A 14,048-nucleotide genomic window follows, 5' to 3' on the forward strand; every position below is an offset into this window, starting at 1 on the left:
CTCGTGATCTGCCTGCCTCGGCCTGCCAAAGTGCTGGGATTACAGGCGTGAGCCACCGCACCCGGCTGTAATACAGTGGTTTTAAGTTAATTCACAGAGTTGTGCAGCCATCACTGCAGTCAACTTCAGGACATTTTCATCACCCCAAAAAGAATCCCTATACCCATTAGCAGTCACTCCCCATTTCCCAATTTCCCCCAATCTCTAGCCCTAAGCAACCACTACTCTACAAATGCACAAATCTCTATATAGATTTATCTTGGGCTAATTTTAAGTATATGAAGTAAAATAGAGAAAATCAATTATTTTGAAATACAGTTCTATCCTCAGAGCCCAATTAAGGACTCTGATTTTAAAAATAATACTCTTAGCCCTTCATATTCACCTTTTCTGCATCCGAGGATTCAAGCAACCATGGATTGAAAATAAATAGTATAGGCCAGGCGCAGTGGCCCATGCCTATAATCCCAGCACTTTGGAAGGCCAAGGAGATAGGATCACCTGAGCCCAGGAGTTCAAGACGAGCCTGAACAACATAGTGAGACCCCGTCTCTACAAAAAAATTAGCCGCCTGGTGCTGCGGCTCACGCCTGTAATCCCAGCACTTTGGGAGGCCGAGACGGGCAGATCACAAGGTCAGGAGATGGAGACCATCCTGGCTAACACAGTGAAACCCCGTCTCCACTCAAAATACAAAAAAAAATTAGCCAGTCGTGGTGGCAGGCACCTGTAGTCCCAGCTACTCGGGAGGCTGAGGCAGGAGAATGGCATGAACCCAGGAGGCGGAGCTTGCAGTGAGCGGAGATCGCACCACTGCACTCCAGCCTGGGCGACAGAGTGAGACTCCGTCTCAAAAAAAAAAAAAAAAATTGCCAAGCATGCTGGCATGCACGTGTAGTCTCAGCTACTTTGGAGGCTGAGGCCAGAGGATTGGTTGGGGCTGCAGTGAGCCATGATCACACCACTGTACTCCAGGTGACAGAGCAAGACCCTGTCTCAAAAATCAATAAAACAACAATTTTTAAAACTATAACTGTTTACATAGCATTTATATTAGGCGTTATAGATGATTTAATGTATGCAGGAGGATGTGTGTGGGTTGTATGCAAATGCTACACCCGACACCATTGTGTAAGAGACTTGAGCTGGATACCAAGGGACAACTATATGACCTGTAGAAAACTTAAAGAAAAGCACAGGCCGGGCGTGGTGGCTCACTCTTGTAATCCCAGCAGTTTGAGAGGCCAAGGTGGGTAGATCACCTGAGGTCAGGAGTTCGAGCCCAGCCTGGCCAACATGGCGAAACCCCATCTTTACTAAAAATACAAAAATTAACCAGGCGTGGTGGTGGGTGCCTGTAATCCCAGCTACTCAGGAAGCTAAGGCAGGAAAATGGCTTGGACCCAGGAGTGGAGGTTGCAGTGAGCCAAGACCACGCTATTGCACTCCAGCCTGGGTGACAAAAGCAAAACTCCGTCTCAAAAAAAAAAGAAAAGCACAAAGAGGCCAGGCACAGTGGCTCATGCCTGTAATCTGAACACTTTGGGAAGCCAAGGTGGGCAGATTACTTAAGGTCAGGAGTTCAAGACCAACCTAGTCAACATGGTGAAACCCTGTCTCTCCTAAAAATACAAAAATTAACAAGGCATGGTGGTGGGCACCTGTAGTCCCAGCTACTCAGGAGGCTGAGGTGGGAGAATCACTTCAACCTGGGAGGCAGAGGCTGCAGTGAGCTGAGATTGTCCCACTGTACTCCAGCCTGGGTGACACAGCCAAGACCTCGTGTCTCACAAAAAAAAAAAGAAAAACATGAAGAAGAAAACAACGCTTGCCAGGCGCGGTGGCTCACCCCTGAAATTCCAGCACCTGGGGAGGCCGAGGCAGGTGGATCACCTGAGGTCAGGAGTTTGAGACTAGCCTGGCCAACATGGTGAAACCCCGTCTCTACTAAAAATACAAAAATTAGCTGGGTGTGGTGGTGCGCACCTGTAATCCGAGCTACTTGAGGGGCTGAGGTAGGAGGATCACTTGAACCCAGGAGGCAAAGACTGCAATGAGTCTTTTAGAAAGCAGAAGCTGAGTCTGATAGAACTTAGCCCGTGACCTTAATGGGTACTCGGCAGATGCAGCTGCCTGGCTGATTCGAGAACAGGACAGGCATGGACCCTGCTTTCGGAGCAGTGCTGTGGAATAGAACTTTGTGCAGTGATGGAAATGTTCTGCATCTTCACTCTCCCTTATGGTGGGCACTAGCCACGTGTGAAACGTATCTAATGGGACTGAGAAACTGAATTTTTAATTTAAGTAGCCACAGGTAGCTAGTGATTACCATAGCAAATGCTGCAGTTCCCCGGGTTTTTAGTCTTGATTATACCTCCCAGAAGTTGTCTGCTCCAAAGGTCAACAGTTCAGCAGGAAGCAGAGCCCATGCCTTTGAGAGGCTGGAGGTATTGCATACTCCCAAAAATCCCAGCGTCTCACTCAAATTATGAGCCCAACAGTGCAGAAGAGCTCTGGGCTGTTGTTTCTAAAACGCAAGCATACAGCCTTCCTCCTCTCCCATTTTTATTTAGACCTGTACTAACAAAAAGAATTCTGGCATTACAAATTGTTTTGTATTTTGATGCCTTCAGAATAAATATATAATGTGCTTCATAATTGGAAGCAATTTTGATGGTTTTAAAATCAACATTTTTTGTGTTGCTACCTTGTGCTGAGACTTGTGCTAGATAGTGAGGATACCAAGAAAAATAAGCACAGGGATTTTGTGGTGTTCATCTTTATCTCCTCAGCATCTAAGATAATACACAATGCATAGTGGGCTCTCAGTAGTGTTTGGTGAACTAATAAGCGAAAGATGTAATCGCCGCTGTGAAAGCACTCACTCACTATGTGGTGGGGGCCAACAGACAGGTACAGATGTGTTCCTGGTGTGGAGAAAGTGCCAAGGTGGCTCAGCGAAGAAAAAAGAATTCTTGTGGTGCTATCAAGCAAGGCTTCATTTGAGGGAAAAGTAGGATTTCTGTAGGTGGAAAAAGAGAAGACATTGATTTGAAACTCCCTGGTTGTTTTATAAACTTCATATTAGCTATGTCCACAGAGCCTCCAAAAGGATATAATTCAAAAAGGATTTTAACCAAAATGAAATATGTTGTGACTAATAGATACAGTTTATTTGAATGAATGATAGTTTTTCCCATTTGATATTTTAACTGTGCTACACAAGAATGAGAGTAGACATAGCTCGATTTGTAGTCTCATTGTTTTGTCTTTTCTGCCCATTTCAGTGACCCAGGACTCTTTGTTTATTGCTGTGATTTTTCTTCCACAGCTATAGAACTGGTCCAGGTGAGTACGATGGGAAATTACCTATTGGTAATTTCCACTGATTAAAGGGAAAAGGTTCTCCTAAAAATCAAGGTCTCTGGCTGTGTTCTTATACGGTCTGTGTTCTTACGGTCTAAAAGTAAAAGATTTACTGATAACGAGCATACCTTGTTTTATTGCAGTTCACTTTATCACACTGTACAGATGTCATATCTGTTCATATATTGAAAGTCTGTGGCAACCCTGCATCAAGCAAGCCTACCAGTGCCGTTTCTCCACCACCATATGCTCACTTAGTGTCTGTGTGTCATGCTTTGGTGATTCTCAGAATATTTCAGACTTTTTTACTATTATGTATGTTATAGTGTGTGACGTTACTGTTGTACTTGGTTTGGGGTTCCACAAATCACATCTGTGTAAGACGGTCAACTTAATAAATGCATGTGTTGTGACTGCCCCACCAACCTGCCATTCCATTTCTCTCCCTCTCCTCAGGTCTCCTTGTTCTCTAAGACACAATATTGCAATTAGGCCACTTCATACTCTACAGTGTCCTCTGTGTGCTCAAGTGAAAGGAAGAGTTTCACCACGTTGCCCAGGCTGGTCTCGAATGATAGCTTACACTTGTGTTGTAATTATTAAATTTAATACACAATTGCATAAACTAATGAAATACGATTGCATGCCGGTGCGGTGACTCATGCCTGTAATGCCAGCACTTTGGGAGGCCAGGGTGGGTGGATCACGAGGTCAGGAGTTCAAGACCAGCCTGACCAAGTGAAACCCCGTCTCTACTAAAAATACAAAAAAATTAGCCGGGCTAAAAATACAAAAAATGGCACATACCTGTAATTTCAGCTACTCAGGAGGCTAAGGCAGGAGGAGAATCACTTAAACTCAGGAGGCGGAGGTTGCAGTGAGCTGAGATCGCGCCACTGCACTCCAGCTAGACGACAGAGCGAGACTCCATCTCAAAAAAATAAAAATAAAGATAAAAATACGTTATTGGTTGGCCACAATGGCTTAACGCCTGTCATCCCAACACTTTGGGAGGCTGAGGCAGACAGATCACTTGAGATCAGGAGTTCAAGACTGGCCTAGGCAACATGGTGAAACCCCATCTCTACTAAAGAAAAATACAAGAAATTATCCAGGCATGGTGGTGGGCACCTGTAGTCACAGCTACTCAAAAGGCTGAAGCAGGAGAATTGCTTGAACTGGGGAGGCAAAGGTTGCAGTGAGCCAAGATCGTGCCACTGCACTCCAGTCTGGGTGACAGAGTGAGACTCCATCTCAAAAAAAAAAAAGGGAGAAAGAAAAAAAATAGTTTATTGCTAAAACATATTAATAATCATCTAAACCTTCAGTAAGTTGTAATCTTTGCTAGTGGAGGGTCTTGCCTTGATATTGATGGCTGCTGACTGATCAGGGTGGTGATTGCCAAGGGCTGGGGTAGTGGTTGCTAAGGGCTGGGGTGACTGGCAATTTCTTTTTTTTTTTTTTTTTGAGACGGAGTCTCGCTCTGTCGCCCAGGCTGGACTGCAGTGGCGGGATCTCGGCTCACTGCAAGCTCCGCCTCCCGGGTTCACGCCATTCTCCTGCCTCAGCCTCCCAAGTAGCTGGGACTACAGGCGCCCGCCACTACGCCCGGCTAATTTTTTGTATTTTTAGTAGAGACGGGGTTTCACCGTTTTAGCTGGGATGGTCTCGATCTCCTGACCTCGTGATCCGCCCGCCTCGGCCTCCCAAAGTGCTGGGATTACAGGCGTGAGCCACCGCGCCCGGCCGGCAATTTCTTAAAATAAGGTAACAATGAAGTTTACCATATCAATTGGCTCTTCCTTTCATGAAAGATTTCTCTGTAGCATGCGATGCTGATAGGATTTTGCCCACAGTAGAGCTTCTTTCAAATTGAAGTCCATTCTCTCAAACCCTGCTGCTGCTTTATCAACTAAGTTTGATGCCATTTCAAAACAAAAAACCTTTCTTGCCATTTCAAAACAATGTTCATAGCATCTTTTCTGGAGTAGATTTGATCTCAATAAACCACTTTCTTTGCCCAACCGTAAGAAGCAACTCCTTATAGATAAGGATGCTGGTTGAAAGAAAGAAAGAAAGAAAGAATAAGACTAAAAAAGAAGAAGCAACAAGATTGCAGCAATTCAGTTACATCTTCAGGCTTCACTTTTTTTTTTTTTTTTTTGAGACAGGGTCTCACTGTGTTGTCCAGGCTGAAGTAGAGTGACACAATCATAGCCCACTGTAGCCTTGAATTTTGGGCTCAGGCGAACCTGATGAGATGATTCCATTGGGGTTCTTTGAGTTACAAGTAACAGAAACATCTAGACAAACTCAAAGCAATAAAGTAGAATGTCATAGAACCTAAGGGCACAAAATACAGCCCCAAGTTCCTGGTATCTTACCTCTCATTGTCCAGGGCCCATTTGTTTTTTCCCTCTTTGCATACCAGTTTTCTCTAGTCAGTATTTCCTAGTTTTGCACGTGGCCCCAACGTGCTTGCTTCTTCCAGTCCCTTACAAGCTCACCCTGTTCAGGGGTTCATGGTGCCTCACTAAAATGATTGTGTCCCAGTTCTGAAGTCCCTGGAAAGTCTAGTTAACACAACCTAGCTGATAAATACAGCAGCCCTGTTTGAATCAGCTTTGGCCAATGAGAAACAAACTCACATATTTGGAGAAGATGGACATTGAGGGTAGATGCCTTAAAATGTATCTGTTATGGCTGGGTGCAGTGGCTCACACCTGTCATCCCAGCACTTTGGGAGGCCACGGCCAGCGGATCATGAGGTCAGGAGTTCGATACCAGCCTGACCAATATGGTGAAACCCCGTCTCTACTAAAAATATGAAATTTAGCTGGGTATGGTGGCACGCACCTGTAGTCCCAGCTACTTGGGAGGCTGAAGAATCGCTTGAACCCAGGAGGCAGAGGTTGCAGTGAGCCGAGATCGTGCCACTGCACTCCAGCCTGGGTGACAGAGCAAGACTCCATCTCAAAAAAAAAAAAAAAAAAATGTGTCTGTTACAATTGGCCAGGCGTGGTGGCCAGCACTTTGGGAGGCTGAGGTGGGCAGATCACTTGAGGTCAGGAGTTCAAGACCAGCCTGGCCAACATGGTGAAACCCTGTCTCTACTTTAAAAAACACAAAAACTAGGCCGGGTGCAGTGGTTCATGCCTGTAATCCCAGCACTTTGGGAGGCTAAGACGGGCAGATCATCTGAGGTCAAGAGTTCCAGACCAGCCTGGCCAATATGGTGAAACTCCATCTCTACTAAATACAAAAATTAGCCAGGTATGGTGGTAGGTGCCTGTAGTCCCAGCTACTCGGGAGGCTGAGGCAGGAGAATCGCTTGAACCTGGGAGGCAGAGGTTGTAGTGAGCCAAGATCACGCCATTGCACTCCAGCCTGGGCTACAAGAGCGAAACTCTATCTCAAAAAAAAAAAAAATACAAAAACTAGCAGGACGTGGTGGCATGCACCTGTAATCCCAGCTACTGGGGAGGCTGAGGCAGGAGAATTGCTTGAACCTGGGAAAGCAGAGGTTGCAGTGAGCTGAGATCGCACCACTCCAGCCTGGGCAACAGAACAAGACTCTGTCTCAAAAAAAAAAAAAAAAAAGGGTCTGTCACAATTATGTATAATGCTGTTAGGGCAGATTAGGAATTGGTAGTGCCATGCTTTTAGAATTATTCATGCAGTTAAAGACCAAATGAATATTGAAGCCTATCTTTACTTCAGTTTTTGATAACAAAGTAAATTTTCTACATCTACAGAAATAGATTTTCCTGAAGAATTCTATGGTTTGTGTAATATTTTCTAGTTGGGAGTTGTTTTGAATCGTGTACTTTGTTGTTTGTTTTGAGACAGGGTCTCAGTCACTCAGGCTGGAGTGCAGTGGTACAATCAAGCTGACTGCAGCCTTGATCTCCTGGGCTCAAGTGATTCTCCCACCTCCTGTGTAACTGGGACTACGGGCACATGCCACCACACCTGGCTAATTTTTTTTTTTTTTTGAGATGGAGTCTAGCTCTGTCGCCCAGGCTGGAGTGCAGTGGCGTGATCTCGGCTCGCTGCAACCTCCGCCTCCCAGGTTCAAGCGATTCTCCTGCCTCAGCCTCCAGAGTAGCTGGGATTACAGGCGGGTGCCACTGCACCCAGCTAATTTTTTGTATTTTTAGTAGAGACGGGGTTTCACCATGTTGGCCAGGCTGGTTTTGAACTCCTGACCTCAGGTAATCCGCCCACCTCGACCTCCCAAAGTGCTAGGATTACAGGCCTGCACCTGGCATTTTTTTATTTTTTGTAGAGATGAAGTCTCACTATGTTGCCTAGCTGGTCTCAAACTCCTGGGCTCAAGTGATCCTCCTGCCTCAGCCTCCCAGGGTGCTGGGATTCTAGGCGTGATCCACTGTGCCTAGCAGATCGTGCTTTTGGTTTGTTTGTTTGTTTGTTTGTTTGTTTGTTTTTGTTTTTGAGACGGAGTCTCCCTCTGTTGCCCAGGCTGGAGTGCAGTGGTGCGATCTCGGCTCACTGCAAGCTCCGCCTCCCGGGTTCACGCCATTCTCCTGCCTCAGCCTCCCGAGTAGCTGGGACTACAGGCACCTGCCACCACACCCGGCTAATTTTTTGTATTTTTAGTGGAGACGGGGTTTCACCATGTTAGCTAGGATGGTCTCCATCTCCTGACCTCATGATCTGCGCGCCTCGGCCTCCCAAAGTGCTAGGATTACAGGCGTGAGCCACTGCGTGCTTATTTAAAGTATGTGCTGTCTCTCTCCTTATGAATGTTTTTTTTTTTCCCTGTTGGTCACTCATTTTCATGATCGTTTTCCAATTCTTAGATCTGACTTCATGCATGAGAAGTACAGAAAGTACACAAGAATAAAGAATAAAAGTAGGGGAGTCAGGAATGTTCTATTTTAAACGCAACTATTAGATTCCTCACTGTCTCCCTTCAATTATTCCTGATCTTTACTCTTTGAGTCCTCCCTGAAATAACATGCTATTAGATTGATGCAAAAGTAATTGTCGTTTTTGCCATTACTTTTTTTTTTTTCTTTTCTTTTTTTAGACGGAGTTTCACTCTTATTGCCCAGGCTGGAGTGCAATGGTACAATCTCGGCTCACTACAACCTCTGCCTCCTGGGTTCAAGCGATTCTCCTGCCTCAGCCTCCCGAGTAGCTGGGATTATAGGCATGCGCCACCACACCCAGCTAATTTTGTATTTTTAGTAGAGATGGGGTTTCTCCATGTTGGTCAGGCTGCTCTCGAACTCCTGATCTCAGGTGGTCCTCCCGCCTTGGCCTCCCAAAGTGCTGGGATTACAGGCATGAGCCACCACATCCTTGCCATTACTTTCAATAGCAAAAACCACAATTACTTTTTCACCAATCTATATAATGATTAGAAATATATCCCCTACTCTGGAGGGTGAGGCAAGTGATCCTATCGCGTGAACCCAACAGTTTGAGGCCAGCCTGGGCAACATGGGGAGATTTTGCCTCAAGAAAAAAAAGAAAAAAGAAATAGATCCCTCTTCGTGAAGTAGCAACAGTTACATTTAAAATTTAAAACAAGATAATCTTTTCTTTGGGCTATGTTAATATTTTCTAACTTACTTGTCTCTTCCACCTGTCTGCAGACAAATTCAGAATATGATCCTTCTCGGTGTTTTGCCTTTGTTCACGACCTGTGTGATGAAGAGAAGAGTTACCCAGTGCCCAAGGGCAGTCTTGATATTATCATTCTCATATTTGTTCTTTCAGCAGTTGTTCCAGACAAGTAAGTTTGGGTCCCTTAGCTGGTAGTGTCACAAAAAGAAAGCTTTGGTGAGGGACCTTTTTTTTTAAAATAGGGTCTTGCTCCGTCAGCCCAGGCTGGAGTGCAGTGGCACGATCATGGCTCACTGCAGCCTTAATCTCTTGAGCTTAAATGATCCTCCCTCCTCAGCTTCCCAAGTAGGTGGGACCACAGGCACGTGCCACCAGTCCTGGCTAATTTTTGTGTTTTAGCAGAGATGGGGTTTTGCCATGTTGCCCAGACTGGTCTTGAATTCCTGGGCTCAAGCAATCCTCCCACCTTGGCCTCCCAAAGTGCTGGGATTATAGGTGTGAGCCACTATGCCCAGCCTGGCAAGAGACCTTGATATTAGAGTTGGGCTCGAAGTAAAAAGAGTTGTTTATGTTCTGATAGACACAAAGAAGCCACACCATTTGTAGTGATGTGAGCATCTCAACTATTTTCCTAAATTTGTCTTGATGTCCAACTTCTGTTCTGGCCTCGAAACTTCTGCAGTAGTTGGTTCTTCATTTCCTTGTTGTGGCTCAACATTGGGAAAGAATGGGAAATCAGTCTCTAATGAGTATGTGGGGAAATTCCTATTGATAATCTCATCACATGCCGTTTTAGAACTGTGAACTGTGGGTGTCACAGCTTTCAGGTAATGTCTCATTATTGGCCTTTCATTTTATTTTATTTTTTTTTGAGACAGAGTCTCGCCCTGTTGCCCGGGCTGGAATACAATGGCGTGATCTAGGCTCACTGCAACCTCCGCCTCCCCAGTTCACACAATTGTCCTGCCTCAACCTCCCGAGTAGCTGGGATTACAGGCACCCGCCACCATGCCTGGCTAATTTTTGTATTTTTAGTAGATACGGGGTTTCACCATGTTGGCCAGGCTGGTCTTAACTCCTCACCTTGTGATCTGCTTGCCTCAACCTCGCAAAATGCTGGGATTACAGGTGTGAGCCACCACGCTGGCCTTTTTTTTGAAGACGGAGTCTTGCTCTGTTGCCCCGGCTGGGGTGCAGTGATGAGATCTTGGCTCACTGCAACCTCCACCTCCCGGGTTCAACCAATTCTCCTGCCTCAGCCTCCCAAGCAGCTGGGATTACAGGTGTATGCCACCATGCCTGGCTAATTTTTGTATTTTTTTTTTTTTAGTGGAGATGGTGTTTCACCATGTTGGCCAGGCTGGTCTCGAACTCCTGACCTCATGATCCGCCTGCCACGGCCTCCCAAAGTGCTGGGATTACAGGCGTGAGCCACCACGCCCAGCCTATTGGCCTTTTAAATGCTTTAAATAAAACAACCTTATTAGCAACACGAAATTTACATTGAACCTTAACTAAGGTGTTCTCTGATGCTTACAGTGTTTTAGAAAACTGTGATACAGAATTCTATAAAATCAGATTCTGATTAAAGGAAAGTCAAATGCTATATCCTAAAATACACCATTAAAACTTCATATGCATAGGTAACCAGTGGTCCTATGAAACTACCTTCTCTCTTTTTTTTATTTTTTTCTGAGATGGAGTCTCACTCTGTTGCCCAGGCTGGAGTGCAGTGGTGAGATCTTGGCTCACTGCAAGCTCTGCCTCCCAGGTTAAAGCGATTCTCCTGCCTCAGCCTCCTGAGCAGCTGGGATTCAGACAAGCACCACCACACCTGGCTAATATTTTTTGTATTTTTAGTAGAGATGGGGTTTCACCATGTTGGCCAGGCTGATCTTGAGCTCCTGACCTCAAGTTATCCACCCACCTCGGCATCCCAAAGTGCTGGGATTACAGGCATGAGCCACTGCACCTGACCAAAACTATCTTCTCAAGGAAGCAGAGTCAGATGGTGGCTAAGAGATTCAGATACCGTGGACTAATTCCATGGAAGCCCTTGTCACTGCCAGAGTGCAGTGAGTCTGGACAGCCTGGGGGTTGGCAAATGTTAGGGTAAACTATACCCATGAAATCATGAGATTAGAGACTTCAAACATCTCCTCATTCTGTATCATCAGAGTCCTGCAAAGATGATTAAGTAAATTAGTGTTAAAGGTCAAGGTAAGCTGGTGTTAGGAAGCCAGATTACATGACTAGAGACTGCAGGGACCAGTGATTGAGATCCTGGTTTATCTCCCAGAGTCCAAGGACCCCTTGCTGGCTGCACAGGATAGGAGCTTTGAGTGATTGACCTTCCTCTAGAAGGCCACACTTCCTCTAGAAGGGTACTGAAGTTATCCAACCTTAGAGGATGAGTGTGAAATAAAGGCATATGCAGGATAACCCAAAAGGCCTACCATGGTTTTAAACTTTAATAATTGCAGAGGTTGACCAGGCACAGTGGCTCACGCCTATAATCCCACCACTTTGGGAGGCTGAGGTGGAAGGAGTGCTTGAAGCCAGGAGCTCAAGACCAGCTTGGGCAACAAAGCAAGACCCCTGTCTCTACTAAAAATAAAAATAAAAAAATTAGCCAGGTGCATATTTGTAGTCCCAGCTACTCAGAAGGCTGAGGCGGGAGTATGGCTTAAGCCCAGGAGTTTGAGGCTGCAGTGAAGTGAGCTATGATCACACCACTGCACTGCAGCCTGGGTGACAGAGTGAGACCCTGTCTCAAAAAAAACCTATGACTTTAGAAGTTTCAATGCTACAAACTTTTTTAAAATTGACATGGACTAAAACAAATTATTAAAATTTAAAATTCAAGTCAGCCACAGTGGCACACACTTTTAGTCCCAGCTACCTAGGAGACTGAGGCAGGAGGATCACTTGAGCCCAAGAGTCCAGCCTGGGCAACATAGCATAGCAGGACCCCAGCTGCTTTTTCTTTGTTTGTTTGTTTGTTTGTTTGTTTGTTTGTTTTCTGAGACAGAGTTTCGCTCTTGTTGCCCAGGCTGGAGTGTGTGCTATGGTCTTGGCTTACTGCAATCTCTGCCTCCCGGGTTCAAGCGATTCTCCTGCCTCAGCATCCCAAGTAGCTGGGATTACAGGTGCCTGCCACCATCCCTGGCTAATTTTTTTGTATTTTTAGTAGAGACAGGGTTTCACCATGTTGGTCTGGCTGGTCTCGAACTCCTGATCTCAGGTGATCTGCCTGCCTTAGCCATTTTTCTGTTTTTTGTTTTTTTTAAGTGGGAAACATTCATTATGCAAAATTTAAATAGACTTTGAAATTTTTTTTGGTGAAGTTTGTAGCATTTAGACTTCTCAAGTTATGAAAGCTTCAACCTGCACCAAGACTTTTGAAGAACACTGCATATGGAAAGCGCAGACCTAAGTGTAAAACCCTCTGTCTGTTATACTCATTTGCATACTGATTGTATTGCCATGTAACTTGTAAGTTCTTGAGGACAAGTCTTCATTTAGCAAACAGAAAGATACAGCCCCTACATTGAAAGAGCTCAGGTCTAATGGTGCAGGCAGATAAGTCCCCTAGCAGAACCCACTGGATGCTCAGGATTCGGCTTAGCCACAGGAGCACAGGGCAAAGATGGCTATCTAGGACAGTGGGGAAGTGATCCAGATGGAGAGCAGAGAACTGTTGTTTGTTTGTTTGTTCTTTGGAGATGGAGTCTCAGTTACTCTGCCGCCCAGGCCGGAGGGCAGTGGTGCAATCTTGGCTCACTGCAACCTCCACCTCCCAGGTTCCAGAAGTTCTCCTGCCTCAGCCTCCTGAGTGTCTGGGATTATAGACGCATGCCACCACGCCTGGCTACTTTTTGTATTTTCAGTAGAGACGGGGTTTCACCGTTTTGGCCAGACTGGTCTCAAACTCCTGACCTCATTTGATCCGCCTGCCTCAGCCTCCCAAAATGGTGGTATTACAAGCATGAGCCACCGCACCTGGCCGGGAGCAGAGAACTTTCTTATGGCAGAAGCAGGCTGTCCTTGGGCCTCTTCGGGCTGAAGGCAGTGGATTGAGGCCACAGCTGTGAGCAGGCAGCTAACGTCCTTCAGTTCTAACTGAAGAGTAGAGGAGCTTAGATCTCAGACTTGGTGTGTCAGTTGAGGAAGTCCACTGGCTTTTTGGGATATGCTACAGGGAAAGAGAACCCTGTCTTTAAGGAGACCTGATTAACTATAATTCCCTGTGTCTCCACAGGATGCAGAAGGCTATCAACAGGCTGAGCAGGCTTCTGAAACCTGGGGGGATGGTACTTCTGCGAGATTACGGCCGCTATGACATGGCTCAGCTTCGGTTTAAAAAAGGTATTTTGAGAGTGCTGAATCCTAACCACTAGAGATCATGTCCTTTGCAGGGACATGGATGAAGCTGGAAATCATCATTCTCAGCAAACTAACACAAGAACAGAAAACCAAACACCATATTTTCTCACTCATAAGTGGGAGTTGAACAATGAGAACACATGGACGCGGGGTGGGGGGCATCACACACTGGGGCCTGTCTGGAGGTGGGGGGGCTGGGAGAGGGAGAGCATTAGCAGAAATACCTAATGTAGATGACGGGTAGATAGGTGCAGCAAACCTCCATGGCACGTGTATACATATGTATCAAACCTGTATGTTCTGCACATGTACCCCAGAACTTAAAGTATAATTTTAAAAAAAAAAAAGGTATGTGGCCACTATAATCAAAAAATGGTGCTGCCATCAGAATAGAAACTCTAGAATTAGAACTCCTTATATAAAGCCATTTAATATGTGACAGAGTAGTATATTTTTTAAGAAAACTGAAGAGGCTTGTATAATCTAGATATTGAGGTCTTTTTAAGCAAGACAGCTACCTTTAGAAGAGCTTTTATTAGAAAGACATTTGAAAGACAGCCGGGCGCAGTGGCTCATGCCTGTAATTCCAACACTTTGGGAGGCCGAGTCGGGCAGATCACCTGAGGTCAAGAGTTCGAGACCAGCCCGACCAACATGGAGAAACCCTGTCTCTACTAAAAATACAAATTAGCCGGGCATGG

General features: G+C 45.6%; 1 protein-coding gene across 1 annotated transcript in view, besides 1 other annotated feature; it reads left to right on the forward strand.

Moving 5' to 3' along the window:
• The window catches only part of METTL2B (methyltransferase 2B, tRNA N3-cytidine), a 29,855-nt gene that overhangs the window by 8,066 nt on the left and 7,741 nt on the right, over nucleotides 1–14,048 (forward strand). Inside the window, exons 5-7 of the mRNA NM_018396.3 lie at nucleotides 3,288–3,348; nucleotides 8,991–9,130; nucleotides 13,223–13,329. Coding sequence (NP_060866.2) covers nucleotides 3,288–3,348; nucleotides 8,991–9,130; nucleotides 13,223–13,329 — 308 coding nt within the window. The remainder of the gene's footprint in view (nucleotides 1–3,287; nucleotides 3,349–8,990; nucleotides 9,131–13,222; nucleotides 13,330–14,048) is intronic.
• Nucleotides 11,208–11,408: a silencer, noted in NCBI's record as "peak6715 fragment used in MPRA reporter construct". NCBI's record gives its function as "represses an SCP1 promoter by STARR-seq MPRAs in K562 erythroleukemia cells {active_cell/tissue: K562}" and the evidence as "EXISTENCE:reporter gene assay evidence [ECO:0000049][PMID:32103011]".

This window comes from Homo sapiens, chromosome 7 (assembly GCF_000001405.40).
Source record: "Homo sapiens chromosome 7, GRCh38.p14 Primary Assembly".
Lineage (NCBI taxonomy): Eukaryota > Metazoa > Chordata > Mammalia > Primates > Hominidae > Homo > Homo sapiens.